Source organism: Homo sapiens, chromosome 2 (assembly GCF_000001405.40).
Source record: "Homo sapiens chromosome 2, GRCh38.p14 Primary Assembly".
In the NCBI taxonomy this organism is placed as follows: domain Eukaryota; kingdom Metazoa; phylum Chordata; class Mammalia; order Primates; family Hominidae; genus Homo; species Homo sapiens.
Genome location: NC_000002.12, coordinates 32,618,879 through 32,634,312, shown reverse-complemented (window position 1 = coordinate 32,634,312; position 15,434 = coordinate 32,618,879). Strand labels below are relative to the sequence as shown.

The 15,434-nt window shown below is 43.2% G+C and overlaps 1 protein-coding gene and 1 long non-coding RNA gene across 6 annotated transcripts in view, besides 5 other annotated features; one reads left to right on the top strand and one right to left on the bottom strand.

The window, feature by feature from the left end:
• The window catches only part of TTC27 (tetratricopeptide repeat domain 27), a 193,002-nt gene extending 186,739 nt beyond the window's left edge, over window positions 1-6,263 (bottom strand). For 4 of the 5 annotated variants that reach the window (NM_017735.5, XM_011532958.3, XM_005264416.3 and 1 more), the window contains exons 1-3: window positions 5,933-6,263; window positions 3,613-3,790; window positions 308-437 (exon numbers count right to left, since the gene is read on the bottom strand). In NM_017735.5, coding sequence (NP_060205.3) covers window positions 308-437; window positions 3,613-3,790; window positions 5,933-6,020 — 396 coding nt within the window. In that variant the 5' untranslated portion in view covers window positions 6,021-6,263. The remainder of the gene's footprint in view (window positions 1-307; window positions 438-3,612; window positions 3,791-5,932) is intronic. The other variant, NM_001193509.2, reaches the window with a different exon arrangement.
• Window positions 5,742-6,401: an enhancer, noted in NCBI's record as "H3K27ac hESC enhancer chr2:32852979-32853638 (GRCh37/hg19 assembly coordinates)". NCBI's record gives its function as "activates a minimal SCP1, AML or CMV promoter by ChIP-STARR-seq in primed H9 embryonic stem cells {active_cell/tissue: H9 hESC(primed)}" and the evidence as "EXISTENCE:reporter gene assay evidence [ECO:0000049][PMID:30033119]".
• Window positions 5,774-5,903: a silencer, noted in NCBI's record as "silent region_11343". NCBI's record gives its function as "represses an Ori minimal core promoter by ATAC-STARR-seq in GM12878 lymphoblastoid cells {active_cell/tissue: GM12878}" and the evidence as "EXISTENCE:reporter gene assay evidence [ECO:0000049][PMID:35858748]".
• Window positions 6,154-6,213: an enhancer, noted in NCBI's record as "active region_15560". NCBI's record gives its function as "activates an Ori minimal core promoter by ATAC-STARR-seq in GM12878 lymphoblastoid cells {active_cell/tissue: GM12878}" and the evidence as "EXISTENCE:reporter gene assay evidence [ECO:0000049][PMID:35858748]".
• Window positions 6,402-7,063: an enhancer, noted in NCBI's record as "H3K27ac hESC enhancer chr2:32852317-32852978 (GRCh37/hg19 assembly coordinates)". NCBI's record gives its function as "activates a minimal SCP1, AML or CMV promoter by ChIP-STARR-seq in naive and primed H9 embryonic stem cells {active_cell/tissue: H9 hESC(naive and primed)}" and the evidence as "EXISTENCE:reporter gene assay evidence [ECO:0000049][PMID:30033119]".
• Window positions 6,624-6,683: an enhancer, noted in NCBI's record as "active region_15559". NCBI's record gives its function as "activates an Ori minimal core promoter by ATAC-STARR-seq in GM12878 lymphoblastoid cells {active_cell/tissue: GM12878}" and the evidence as "EXISTENCE:reporter gene assay evidence [ECO:0000049][PMID:35858748]".
• On the top strand, window positions 7,535-9,550 carry LOC124905985 (uncharacterized). Its single transcript, XR_007086273.1, has 3 exons — window positions 7,535-7,680; window positions 8,357-8,474; window positions 9,143-9,550. It is a non-coding gene; the product is annotated as an uncharacterized LOC124905985 (long non-coding RNA).
• The last annotated feature ends 5,884 nt before the right edge of the window (window positions 9,551-15,434 follow it).

Sequence of the window (15,434 nt, the reverse complement as noted above, 5' to 3'; positions counted from 1 at the left end):
AAAAAAAAAAAATCTTTATGTAACTGAGGTGATACAACCAACTAAACAACTGGTGCAGCTGTCTGTACTTTCATTAAAAAACACAGCTAACACAGCTCCATAAAATGGAGTGTGTATGAAGAGGAGTTTGACAAAGGAACTTCTGGAAATCTGTGAAAATCTGATCAATGAACAAGCATTCTTAGTACTTTTGTGCAAACCATAAAGTCATGTTTCTTTCCTACTATGAGTTCCAGTTTATAAAGACCTGCTTATAAAAAATAAATAACATAATAATAATTACATACAACATTTTCAAGAAGCATACCTCACTGAATTGCTGGAACAAAACAGATGACAAAAAGTCCTGAGGGTGTAAGTCAACAGGGGGCCCCGTCCAGTTGCTCTGAACAAAAAGTTGCAAACTGCTCACACCAAGTAGAAATATCAACTGTTGTCTGCATATAAGAATGGTTAAAGAAATAAATATGAACTACTATCACTGTATAATCTCAAACACACTATTCCATTTCAGTTTTATTAAGAAAATAATATCTATCAACATTTATTGAGACTATCCTAGAGTATTACCAAAAAAAAAAATTTCTAAAACTTAAAACAATTTAGGTTAGCTAGGCACAGTGGTTCATGCCTGTAATTCCAGCACTTTGGAAGGCCACGGTAGGAGGATCATTTGAACCCAGGAGTTCAAAACCAGCCTGAGAAACATAGTGAGACCCTGTCTCTACAAAAAAATTAAAAGTTAGCCGGCATGGTGGTACATCCCAGCTACTCAAGAGGCTGATGCATGAGGATTGCTTGCAGCCCAGGAGTTTGAGGCTGTAGTAAGCTTTGATCATAGCACTGTACTCCAGCCTAGATGATAAAGCGAGACCCTGTCTCTCTTAAAAAAAAAAGAAATTAGGTCTACAATATCCAATATTATAGCCACGAGCCAAACATGGTTTAAATTTGCATTAGTTAAAATTAATAAAATTTATAATTCAGTTCCTTAGTCATACTTTCCATATTTCAAGTGCTCAATAGTTAAGTGTGGCTAGTGGCTACCATGTGGGCAATGAAGATAGAGAGCACTTCTATCTCCACGGAAAATTATCTTGAACGGTGTTGATTTAGGTTCTGATCAGACATCTATAAGTTTTTCTTGCACTCCCTTTAACAGCTCTGATGTTGCAAGATGTATAGAAAACTGACTTTATACAAAAGAAAAGTGATGATATAAAGTTGTTGCTAATTGTTTACCAATCCCATACCACCAAATGCTAGAACAACAACAACAACAAAACATATAGATATTTTAGTGAAAACTCTATTTTTCAGTCTTGCTGTGATGTGAGACAGGGATAGGCAAACTTTTTCTAAATATGAAATATTTTAGGCTTTGCATATCATGTTTGTTTTTTTCCAACCCTTTAAAAATGTAAAACCCATTAATTCTTAGCCACTTAGTTAGCCTGCCAGCCATAATGTGCCAAACCCTAAATTAGGATCTAAATAGGTACAGATCCAACTCTAGCAAATAACAGCCAGGGAATCCTGGAGTTTCATTCTGAAGAGAAAGTATTAGTAATCACTTTTTTCCCCACAGCCCCTAGGCCCTTCCTTAAAAGGAAGAGTCTTTCAGAAAAAGAAAAAAAAAAATCAAACATACAAGCCTATGGTAGCAAAAATATAAAACTCTGGATGCAATGCAAATAAGCAGCATTAGAGAAAAAAGATAACAAAAGAGCTGGTATGCAATCAGAAGTTTGGAAATTTGGAGAAAACAGCCTTAATAAACTGTCCTAATCAAAAAACAAAATCCATAAGGTGAACTGAAAATACACTTTAACTTTCAAATGTCTGAAAATGAGTCAACTGAAATGTCTCTTTTTAGCTTTATGTGACAAGATAGAAATCTGGTATATCAGTGAATAATGCATTTGTGTGAATGTGTTGTTTTAATGGGTGCCACAAGGCTAGTTGCTATGAGAGTGCACACATATAAGAAAGCAATGAGAATCCAGCCGGGCGGAGTGACTCATGCCTATAATCCCCACACTTAGTGAGGCAGAGGTGAGGATTGCTTGAGCCCAGGAGTTCGAGACCAGCCTGAGCAACATATCAAGACACCATCTCTACAAAAAGGAACTAAAAAAAAAAAAAAAAAAGAATGATACCAAAGGAACATAACTACCAGTAAACTAAAAAAAATTAAATGGAGGCTGGGCGAAGTGGCTCACGTCTGTAATCCCAGCACTTTGGGAGGCCGAGGTGGGCAGATCACCTGAGGTCAGCAGTTCAAGACCAGCCTGGCCAACATGGTGAAACCCCATCTCTACTAAACATACAAAAAAAATGAGCCAGGTGTGGCACAGGCCTGTAATCCCAGCTACATGGGAACCTGAGGGAAGAGAATCACTTGAACTTGGGAGGCGGAGGTTGCAGTGAGCCGAGATCACGCCTCTGCACTCCAGCCTGGGCAACAGAGTGATACTCCATCAAAAAAAAAAAAGAAAAAAGAAAATGAATAATATTAATTTTCAAAATAAAATTAAAAGCCTGTAGTAGCATTCTTTTGCAAACTCCTTATGAATATGGGTTATGCTTTATTCATCCTCAGAACCTCCACATCTACTACAATAGTTTATTTGTTGAAGGACTAAATGAAGCTATTTCCTAGAAATAATGGTAAAATAAAATTGCATGCATTTATAAGATAATTAAAGCTTGACATGGTTGCCACAGATAGTAGACGAAAGATAGAGGTATCAAATTTATAACAATGAAATATAAGCCACTGAAAAGCTTAGGTTTCCCTGCTGTGTAACTATCTGCTATACTTAACCCTATAAAATTACACAAACTTTAATGGAAGAAGGTAAACCAAGGGCTTCCTTACAAAAACATTAAGTTCTCTGAGCTCTATAAAGATAATAATCTAAAACATAATAAATAGTTACAAATTAGCACTCAGCTATGCAGAAATAACAAGATTGAAAGTATGTTTTTTGTTTTTTGGTTTTTTTTTGAGACAGAGTCTCGCTCTGTCGCCCAGGCTAGAGTGCAATGGCGGGATATTGGCTCACTACAACCTCCACCTCCCAGGTTCAAGCGATTCTTCGGCCTCAGCCTCCCTAGCAGCTGGGATTACAGGCGCATGCCACCATGCCCAGCTAATTTTTGTATTTTTGTATAGACGGGGTTTCACCATGTTTGCCAGGCTGGTCTTAAACTCCTGACCTCATGTGATCCGCCCGCCTCGGCCTCCGAAAGCACTGGGACTACAGGCGTGAAGCACTGCACCCAGCCTGAAAGTATGTTTTTAAGTTAAAGGAAATAAGGTCTGAAGTTTTGCCGGTGGGTAAAGCCGACCAGACCTAAGCATTTGCAGTTAACACCAAAATATGTGCCAGTCTCATATATGAAACCATTTTATCCTGCACCACTTTACTTCTTCATTCTGGATGGACTTCTGGATGAGTTTTTACATAGATTACTTGGTACACCATGAGTCTTGAGTAAAATATAAGGCAAGGTTTCTCAACTGCTAAAATCAGGGCCTTACCCTGTCAAGGTGCTATTAAATGTATTTGCTCTGTTCCTCTATGAAAATTTCAAATAAAATTCTACCTTTCCGTTGTGTCCAAATCTGTTGAGTAATCCAGGAATGTTACTACCTGCTTCTCCAGGTAGCTATCAATCTTTTCTTCAGCGGTTGTTGTTGAATTAAAAATATTTTGAGTCATTGAATTTAAGAATATGGCTTCATAGTTCCCTTCCAGTAGCAATTGTAGGAAAGATCCACTCTCTGTAATATAAAAAATTAGTGCGGTAATCCAAAAAAAATTATTTTTCATACCGTAAAGGATAACACTATTAGGTAAATCTACCATTTTAGTGTGCAAAAACAATCTATAGACTTAGAATGATTACTGTATGTCAGTCACAAGGCACTCAGTAAATTTCCATCATTCTACAAACATTCTCTCTCCTAGAATTAGCAGCTCACTCATACTGACTATGAGCCCCAAAGTGGAAGTCAGCCCCAGAAATAATATTCCTCATTAATAGGTATTTAGTCTTTTGCTGGGAAATTCACAAAGATTCCTACTGACAATACAAAAGTTTCCTTAGTCAAGGTTCTAAAACTTTTCACAATCTGGTTCTTTCTACCTCCATTATTTTCTCTTCTTGAAAAGTCACTCCAAGAGCGCTGGTTTACTCATTGTTTCCCTAATGTCCCATGCGTATTCCTGCCTCCACACTTTGCACTTGTGATATCGCCTGTTGAACTCTTCTCCACTTGTTAGTCTTACCCTTTAATCCAAAATCAGCTCAAGTCTAACTTCTTCTAGGAAAGTTTTCCAGGCCACCAAAGTTCAAACTTCCTGTCACTGGAAGCACCTACTGTGTCACACAAGTGCCCACACACACACACATACACACAGAGTACTTACACACTACACTGTTCATTATTACTCTTTTGGGTCCAGCCTAAATCCCACAACCAGATGTGCCAGTGCATGTGCCTTTTAACTCTTTATCTCTCTGGTAAATATTCATTGCTCACAAGAATTAATCTTTGCCTCCTAGGCTGGGCGCGGTGGCTCATGCCTGTAATCCCAGCACTTTGGGAGGCCGAGGTGGGTGGATCACGACGTCAGGAGATCGAGACCATCCTGGCTAACACGGTGAAACCCCGTCTCTACTAAAAATACAAAAAAAAAAATTAGCTGGTCGTGGTGGCAGGCGCCTTTAGTCCCAGCTACTCGGGAGGCTGAGGCAGGAGAATGGCGTGAACCCGGGAGGTGGAGCTTGCAGTGAGCCGAGATCGCGCCACTGCACTCCAGCCTAGGCGACAGAGCGAGACTCTGTCTCAAAAAAATAAAAAAAATAAATCATTGCCGCCTAGGCCGTGCATGGTGGCTCATGGCTGTAATCCCAGCACTTTGGGAGGCCGAGGCGGGTGGATCACCTGAGGTCAGGAGTTCCAGACCAGCCTGACCAACATGATGAAAGCCGTCTCTACTAAAAACACAAAATTAGCCGGGCATGGTGGTGCATGCCTGTAGTCCCAGCTACTTTGGAGGCTGAAGCAGGAGAATCGCTTGAACCGGGGAAGCGGAGGTTGCAGTGAGCCGAGATGGCACCAGTGCACTCCAGCCAGAGCAACAAGAGGGAGACTCCATCCCCCCAAAAAAACAACTTTGCTGCCTCATTTTAGCTCCTCTGCTTACCAACAGTGTGACCTTAAATAAATTACTTAACCAGACCCGGGCGCGGTGGCTCAGGCCTGTAATCCCAGCACTTTGGGAGGCTGAGGCAGGCGAATCATCTGAGGTCAGGAGTTCCAGACCAGCTAGGCCAACATGGTGAAACCTCGACTCTACTAAAAATACAAAATTAGCCGGGCGTGGTGGCGCATGCCTGTAATCCCAGCTACCCTGGAGGCTGAGGCAGGAGAATCACTTGAACCCGGGAGGCGGAGGTTGCAGCGAGCCGAGATCGCGCCATTGCACTCCAGCCTGGGCAAAAAGCAAAACTCCGTCTCAATAAATAAATAAATAAATAAATAAATAAATAAATAAATAGATAAAATAAAATTACTTAACCCAACTGTATTTACAGATCTTCACCGCAAAATGGGATTAAAAATTGAATCTACCTTAAGTATCTACTATAAGCATTAAATGACTGAGTACATGTTAAGGGCTTAGAAAAATAACTGACATTGCCATTGTCATTATTACTGAACCTGGGCGGTAAGAAGTTTTGCGCAAAGAAAGTGAGGACCACGCCCACCATGTCAAAGACTAAACGACCCAAAGCCTCAAGGAATCAGCTAGACTGTGTTAGGGAAAAATGAAGGGAGGGATGAGAATCAGTCGCTGCCATCCCTTTTCCTCACAGTTCCCACGATAGCCTAAGGCCCGGTAGGTGCGCCTCTCACCTGAACCGACGACCCCCTCCTGTTTCCATTGCTGCCGCTCAGCCTCAGTGGGGAATCCCCTCAGAATTGCCAGCTCCGGGGTCCACATCACCCCAGACACCGCTGCAGCCAAAACAGGCTCCCACGAGGGCCACACGGGAGTCAACAAAAGAAAGTGAAAACAGGAGAGTCCAAAGGCGCTGAAATCTAGTGGCGACAGTTACCGTAAATACACCTGCGGCCCTAGAATTCCATGTGCGGATACTACCTCAAGGAGGCGGCCATAACAGCAGCGCGGGGCACCCTGGGAAAAACACGCACGCTCTCTGGTCTGGCTTCCGCCTAGGAGAAGAACCCGAGCTTGAGTAAGGAGCCTGTTGGGTGGTTATGCCCCACCCCGGGGCGGGCAATAGGGGGAGTTGAGGGCGCGGTCGCGCTCAGCCCCGCCCCCAGTGGGACCGCTTCCAAGAACTGTGAACGTGGAAGTGAGTGTGCCTCCCACCGAGGGCTAGGGTTCAAATGCAACTCAAAACGGACGTCTTGGCCAAAGCAGTTTGATTAGAAGGGCTAGAGTTGTGATTCTTAAAGCATTTTGGGTTAGAACGCTCTCGACAACCCGATGAAAACCACAGTCCTTCGCGCAGAGTGCAGGTGGGCCCTTGCTCTCAGCCTAAGGGTACCCTCTCAGGGAATCACAGACCCTCTGACGTGGAGTCGGTGAAGCCCAGGTTGGAACCCCGTCAGCATAGCATGGGTCTTTCGGCGAATGAGCGTGTAAGGAAAGGATCTGGTTTTGACACTGCTCTACATGAATCATGGCCGGGTGGGAAATCTGCCCCTGCCGCTGGTGCAGGGAAGTTTTTGGAACACTGTCGGAACGCTGTAGAAGAGTGATCCCAGGGGTGATCACAAAGAAATTGCAAGGAGACAAACCAGCCTCCGCTGGTACCTTATTTGCACTTCTTTGAATCTTCCTAGCAGCACTCCAAAGAAACAGTTAGAGGGCGGGCGCGGTAGCTCACGCCTGTAATCTCAGCACTTTGGGAGGATGAAGCGGATGGATCACCTGAGGTCAGGAGTTCGAGACCAGCCTGGCCAATATGGTGAAACCCGTCTCTACTAAAAATACAAAAATTAGCCGGACGTAGTGGGGCACCCCTGTAAACCCAGCTACTCGGGACGGTGAGGCGGGGGAATTGCTTGAACCCGGGAGGCGGAGGTTTCAGTGAGCTGAGATGGTGCCACTGCACTCCAGCCTGGGCAATAGGAAAGAGGGAGGGAGGGAGGGAAGAAGGAAGGAAGGGAGGGAGGGAGGGAAGGAGGGAAGGAAAACAGGACTATGGCTTTGTCCCATTGGCTTGACACCTGTACTGAGATATGTCATGTAAGAGCCAGGAGAAAACTGCAGGGTAACTCTGACCACAAGAGCAAAAGCTCTCTGAAAAGAGGCTGACCCGGTACCCAGCTCCAAGGAAGAAGCTAAATAAATGTTAATTCACTTTCTTACTCAGTAAAGAGCCACTCCAGAATGTGAAGGGAGAGGAACTCAGCTCAGCTCATTTCAGCCATTGCCATCAGATACCAAAGGAAGCCGGACCTGACTGTGATTGGAGAAGAGCGGATGCCCTAAAATGTCCTCCCACTGAGAAGTAATTAAAAACTGTTTTTCAGGCCGGGCGCAGTGGCTCACGCCTGTAATCTCAGCACTTTGGGAGGCCGAGGCGGGCGGATCATGAGGTCAGGAGATGGAGACCATCCTGCCTAACAAGGTGAAACCCCATCTCTACTAAAAATATTTTTTTAAAAAATTAGCCGGGCGTAGTGGCGGGCGCCTGTAGTCCCAGCTGCTCAGGAGGCTGCCGCAGGAGAATGGCCTGAACCCAGGAGGCGGAGGTCGCAGTGAGCCAAGATCGCGCCACTGCACTCCAGCCTGGGCAGCAGAGCGAGACTCCGTCTCAAAAAAATAAACAAACAAAAAAAACCCCACTATTTTTCTAGAAAATGATACTTGACCAGGTTGTCTGTTCATTTCCTTAAGTATAAAAGCCAGCACTGTCTAAACTAATTTGATAATTGTTAAAGATGAACGTCTGTAAAAACACACTGGCCGCTCTGCCAAAGTTCCTCACCTGTATGTAGCACCCCGTTAATCCACATAGTAAACTTGCAACTTTCAGTTAAATTCAAGGTTGGTTTGTTTTAAATGTGGTATGCTAGATGATGATGGTGACTGAAGTCTGCCTAATCTCCCTTCAAGCAAAGTGAATTCCAGTAATAAAGTAGGTGGGGAATATGGTCTCGATTAAAAATATGTACATAGTGAGTGGAAATTGAGCAGGCAATGAAATATCTACTGTAGGATTCAGTATAGAATGCCTTGGCTGACGAGTCTATTGGGATCCTGTATGTCACTATCTAAAAGTCTTTTTTTCTTGGGCTGGTCAGATTTCTCCAAAAGACTCTTTAAATCTCCTACCTGGAAGGTGAGGCTCTGGCTGCCACAGTTCCAGGGCCCAGTGGAGATAGAAAGCCAGAAGTCTCCATATTCAAGACTAAGAATGAGGTAAGTGAGAGATACTTTTAACAGAATTTAGGACTATCCTTGGCTTATTTTATGCCTCTAATCCATGTTGTTTCCTTTCTCGTCTCTTATGTCAAGTAGTTCCCAACCTATTACAAAATCTCATCTTCTCTAAACTAGTGATTCTAGCTAAATGTTTATAGTAATGTTTGGTCTACAGTAAAAAATAAATACAATTATAACACCTCTATTTTGAAATACTGTGTGACAAGGAAACAAGGTTTTGCATCGTTTCTTCCAAAAGGAGAAAAAATAGGAAGGAGGATGGCTGGAGATGTAAATTCAACAAGTATTACAAGAGGCTAGGAGATTGGAGAAAATAATGGTGCCATGGGAGCATCAGAGGGGTCAAGGAGGACCAGATCAGAGTTTGGTTGCACTGACTAGAAGGAAGCACAGGGCAAGGACTGGCTCACTCTCTGAAGGAAAGCGGTGGTTGCAGGGCCATTGTTCCGAGGCACACAGGGTTTGGAAAGAGCAGGGGACCAACGGTGTCAGAAGAAGGAAGAATTGTTATGTCAGGAGAAGCCTTCTGGAGAATATTGGTCTTGGGAGACCAGATTTTAAGCTTCATACAACAATTTTATAAAAAGCATTATTCAGGTATAATTGGCATAAAGTGCACATATTTTAACTGTACAATTTGTTAGGTTTTAATTTAGGTATGTACCCATGAACCATCACCACAATCAAGACGGTGAACACATCCATCACTCCTCAAAGTTTCCTTGTTCCTCTTTATAATCCGGCCCTCTTGCCATCCCCATCCTCTACACTCCAAGCAACCACTGATCTGCTGTCACTATTGATGAGTTTGCATTTTCTAGATTTATATAATGGAATCATACAGTATATACTTTTTTTCTGGCTTCTTTCACTTAGCATAATTATTTTGATATTCTTATATAGTACGTATCAATGTTCATTTAAAAAATATAACTGAAGAGTATGTATTGTATGAATACATCACAATGTTTATTTATTCATCTGTGGAGGGATGTTGAAGTTGTTTCCGGTTTTTGGCTACTTCAAATAAAGCTGCCACAAACATTTGCAAACACTGTTAAAAATTATTATTAAATGTGAGCTCTGTTAATGAATATGAAAGGAGATGGAAGGGTCATGAAATGCTATTCGCAATCCTGACTTCCTTATGCTTGAGCTAATGACAAATCCAGCCTCCCTTTCACCACTTAAAAAGATAGGAGACAGAATTAGTTCAAACACATGGCTGGGTGTGGTGGCTCACTTCTGTAATCCCAGCACTTTGTGAGGCCAAGGCGGGCGGATCACCTGAGGTCAGAAGTTTGAGACCAGCCTGGCCAAGATGGTGAAACGCCGTCTCTAATAAAAAAATTAGCTGCACGTGATGACACACGCCTGTAATCCCAGCTACTAGGGAGGCTGAGGTGGGAGGATTGCTTGAACCCGGGAGGTGGAGGTTGCAATGAGCCGAGATTGCACCACTGCACTCCAGCATGGGCGACAAAGCAAGACCCAGCTGGGTGTGGTGGTGCACACCTATAATCCCAGCTACTCGGGAGGGAGGCTCAGGCATGAGAATCGCTTGAAGCCGGGAGGCAGGGGTTGCAGTGAGCTGAAATCATGCCACTGCACTCCAGCCTGGGCGACAGAGCCGAGGCTCTGTCTCAGAAAAAAAAAAGTTTTACATCTTAAGTCTCATAGGTGCTAACAGATACTAACAGAAGAGGGGAACTATTGTTTGAGTATACTGAGGACTGGGCGCGGTGGCTCACACCTGTAATCCTAGCACTTCAGGTGGCCGGGACGGGCGGATCACGAGGTCAGGAGATGGAGACCATCCTGGTTAACATGGTGAAACCCCACCTCTATTAAAAATACAAAAAAGTAGCCAGGCGTGGTGGTGGGTGCCTGTAGTCCCAGCTACTTGGGAGGCTGAGGCAGAAGAATGGCGTGAACCCGGGAGGTGGAGCTTGCAGTGAGCCGAGATCCCACCACTGCACTCCAGCCTGGGCAACAGAGCAAGACTGTCAAAAAAAAAAAAAGAAAGAAAGAAAAGAAAAATAGAAGATGGGGTGAGGTGGGGGTCACCTGCTAGAAGCAAGGGCAGGCTGATTGAAGGGAGGGGTAGTTGGTATGCTTCCGTATCTCCATAGTGTGATGCTTTTTCCCTAGCAGTTGGCAAATTGAGACCAACTGATAGAGATTAAGTTATCAAGTACTAAACATAGGGTCTAGGACATAGATACCAAAAAATGTTAGCAATTCTTAGCTAAGTATTAGGGGTTCCTCGTTTGAGGCAGACGAGGGTATAGTTTTCTCATTGCGAAATCAGAAGCCAGATGATTGAAGAGTATAGGCTTTTCCTAGAGCTGCATGAAGTCTTCTCAGGGATCTGTCCTTCCTTGGCTCACAATCTAAGGTGATCGCTTCGGCTCAGAGACTGAAATTGGTGATAACTGGAAGACTCCCAAAATACAATTGAAATGATGAATATTATTTATTTATTTCATTAGACTGACAGCTTCCTGGGGGTAGGGTCAGACTCTTACATGACATTTTATCCCAAGAATCCAGCACATTGCAGAGCAGGTACAAGTGCTCAGAACAAGTTAAGGCACTATCTTTCCTTGGTAAAGAGGCATTTACAAATGACACCTAAGGGTAGGTGAGCTTCAGGCCTTTCTAAGCTCTCCCTTGCTAAACTCCTTTGGGAGATTAACTTTGCCCTTTGGGTCAAAGGAAGTATTTGCCTTGCTTCAGGAAGTAACTGCTACCTTTGGGGTATGGAGACAACCAGGGGGAAGATTTTTTTTTTTTTTAAACCAAAACTAACATATGAGTGATTTGGGCTTGAAAAAATATTTTTTCTCATTTGTGAATTTATATCAAAAAATTCTGACAAAGTCTTATAAAAAGAGAAGAAAAAAAAAAACCCAACAGGACAAATATTTGAAAATTGGCCAGGCTTGGGAAATCTCATACTTATCTGGCAAGAAGGGCAATAACAAAAATAGCAGCTCCCAGAAAGGCGGCACAGAGGAGCTCTAGCTGGTTCCTCTAAAGATGAGAAAAGCTCCAGAGCTGGAAGGCACTCTATGGCTGCATTTGCTGACTTTGCAGACAGCAAGGTGAAAAAGGGAAGGAATAAACCAAAGAACAAAACCTATAGAAAGGCTGGGGGAAAGCAACAGCAAGGAACAGAAGTGGTAGGAATAAGAACGAGGGAAATGCCTGTCTACCTTTTGACCCAGAGGAGTACAGGGAGGTGGGGAGGGGCAGTATCCTGGGGACCCCAGCAGGCAGAAGTGTCTAACCTGAGGCCGTAGGTCTCCCAGCGGCCCAGGGCAGCCTGCAGCTGACATAATTGGACTGGGTATTCCCTCCCTGGAGAAGTGAGACGTGAATAAAACTGAAAACAATTAAAATGGTGGTGGGCTGCAGTCTCTTCCTGCACAGGAAAACAGCTAGTGCAACCTGAAGAGGGACACACATGAAGGAAGCAATGGAAAGCAGACTTTTGGTGGAGCTCATGGGAGCACTACGAGATCACATCCAGGAACTAAGGGAGAAAGAAGGCCAGAGAATGCCTCTTCTATACAGGAAATGTATAGGCTCACAGGGTTCACGTCAGCCCCTTTAGAGCTTGAAGCATCAGGAGGCTAGAAGCTGAGAGAAAGGAGGCTTGGATGGCTGCTAGAAACTGGGCAGAGTTTGAAGAGGAAAGAGAAAGCAGGATGGAGCTTCCTTTCAACATGGCTTGTATCTTCCATCCACATGTGGACTCTGGCTTGTCACCACCATACCTGCCTCTGCAGGGTGCGAGATGGGAAGCAGCTCAAGCCTGTTGCAATTCAGTTGCAGCGAAGCCTGTAACAATACCAAAAATCAATCTCAGTTAGAAAATATATAGCCTTTTTTTTGCCTTTGCATAGGGAATAACTTCAAAGGAATAAAATGCAATTAAAATCAGAAAGGAACAGATCAATAGATGACTTCACGATTTAAATTTTTTTTTTTTGAGACGGAGTCTCGCTCTGTCACCAGGCTGGAGTGCAGTGGTGCGATCTGGGCTCACTGCAACCTCTGCCTCCTGGGTTCAAGCAAATCTCCTGCCTCAGCCTCCCAAGTAGCTGGGACTACAGGCGCCTGCCACCACGCCCAGCTAATTTTTGTGTTTTTAGTAGAGATGGGGTTTCACCATGTTGGCCAGGATGGTATCGATCTCTTGACCTCATGATCCACCCACCTCAGCCTCCCAAAGTGCTGGGATTACAGGAGTGAGCCATTGCACCCGGCCGGCCCCACAATTTAAAACTTCTATGAGAAAAATTAAACAAAAATTAAAAGGCCATCTGGACAAATACACAGAAGTTTGACAAAAACTAATATTCTACTATAAGTAGCTGATACATACTAAAAGACTCTAAGAAAATACACAAAATAGGGAAAAGGTATAAACTGGTAACTGACAAAAGTAGAAATTCAAATGGGTAATATAAACAATGTTCAATGCACATTAAAACATGTTTGATGATAATAAAATATCAGATCAAAAAATTATATAATCTCCAATGCTGGCCAACGCATGACAACACTAAAAGATTTTCCAAGTGTGAATCAGTACCTCTCAGGAAAGCGGTCATTATATATCAAAACCTTTGACCTAGGAATTCTACTTCTAGGATTTATCATAAGAAAATAAAGATAAGACCATGCTCATCACAGCATTAGTTATAATCAGAAAAGCAGAGACAAAAGCAATTCCAAACTGTCCAACAGTAAGAGATGGGTTAAAAACATCCATTAATTTTCTTTTTAAGACACGGTCTTGCTGTTGCCCACAGTGGAGTGCAGTCACGTGATCTAGGCTCACTACAGCCTCCATGTCCTGGGCTCAAGCAATCCTCCCACCTCAGCCTCCCGAGTAGCTGGGACCACAGGCATGTGCCACCATGCCCAGCTAATTTTGCTATTTTTTGTAGAGACGGGGTTTTGCCATGTTGCCCAGGCTGGTCTCAAACTCCTGAGTTCAAGCAATCATTCCGCCTCAGCCTCCCAAAGTGCTGGGATTACAGGTGTGGGCCATCATGCCCAGCCTACAGTACATTTTACATTTGTCTGACTTTGGAGATTTTTGTCTTAATGCTAGGAAAGTATTTAAGCAGTTTTACTTTTTGTTTTTTTACTGTTCATTAAGATAAAAACTTTATATAGTTAAAAGTTTCACAAATAGACCAATTCACTTTACTGATTTTCACATCTCTTCAAGTTCTCCGCATGTGCTCTTGGACCCAGGTCATTTATGTCTGTTAGGCTTTGCTCCATCCTTCCCCAAGGACTTCTCCCCTGGCTCCCTAGCCTGAAAACATGCTAAAGTTATTCTCCTAACAAATATATGTATTTCCCAAAGTCCTGTCAATTGTCTCTTAATCTCCACAGTTTATGTGCCCTAGTTTATGACCTATTGCTTGGATGTGAGCAGGCTTTTAACTGATCTCCTCGCTTCTCAACAGGTTGCAGAATGATCTTCCTGAAATAGACTAATCAGGTTACTTCCTTAGAGCTACTTGTGAGCTCTCCTTTACCTACAGGAAGTCAAAGTTCCTTAACAGGGCAAGCAAAGGCCTGGGATGAACTGACCCCTCCTCTCTTTCCAAAACCACTGCCTCCCATCCCTTTTGACTATCCTCACTTTGCCTGTTAAAAATCCAGTAACATCCAATATGGTGCCATCAACCTGAGCTCTCCTTTTGCTCTCCTGTGTCTGGATTATCTTGTTTCTGCCTGGCTAACTTCTTTATCCTCATCCTTCAAGAATTAGTCTGCACTTAGAAAGCTTTTCCAGACCATTATCACCTCAGTGCCCACCCAACGTTTTGCCTGAGATAAGGATTCTCCTCTGTGCTCCCAATATTACCCTGTAAATAACTCTACCAGAGACCTTACCAGATGGCACTGACATGTTTTCATGTCTGTCATTCACTCCTCAAGTGCAGGAACTTGGAACTAGTAAAAAATGAGTGCTCAAATGTTTGTTGACATAAAGTCTGGATCTCAAATGGAATGTTTTAATGTAATTGGTTCCAATTTAGGTGTTTAGACTTTGGTTTTTAAAAAATATGAACTGGACCTTATAGTACTGGTATTGTTACTTTCATTTTACATGGAAGACAAACAATACATTTGATACAGCTTTTATCATCCAGCACTCACAGTCCAAAAACAAACAAAAACAACAAAAAATAGCCTAAAGGATTAATGACTGTCCTTTATTATTGCTGATAATTTTATACTTAGATTTTAGCTGGCATGTCTGTGGGTGACATAATTTTTTTCTTCTTGTAAACTACCACTATTTTGTCATTTTCGGTGTAGCTCACTACCCACCAGACCTAACACTATGTGTTTTAGAATCTTTGATTTCCTGTCCAAATACTATTCGTTTCTCCTTTTTCCATGCTGAAGGAGCTTTATACTTTGTACATAAGAGAGTATCATTTCCCCAAGATCCCCTTTTTCATCAGAGAGCAACTCGCCTTTCAGAATACGGCTTCTCCTGGTCAGCTCCAGATTCAGGCGTCAGCTCCAGTTCCTGCCTCAGCCTCCTGAGTAGCTGGGATTACAGGCACCTACCACCATGCCTGGCTAATTTTTGTATTTTTATAGAGACATGATTTCATCGCATTGGCCAGGCTTGTCTCGAACTCCTGACATCAGGAGACCCGCCTGCCTTGGCCTCCCAAAGTGCTGGGATTACAGGCGTGAGCCACCGCGCACAGCCGCCACTTTTATTTTATAAAAATACTGTCAAAGAATCACCTTAGCCTTTCCCCTGCGGCAACTGGTCTTGGAAAAACATGCTTTGTTTTCCCATGCTTAAGTCTTGAAAGTGTTCAATTCTTTATAGAAATAGCATTTCACACCATGGCAAAGGGGTTTAGAAACAAGACATACTAA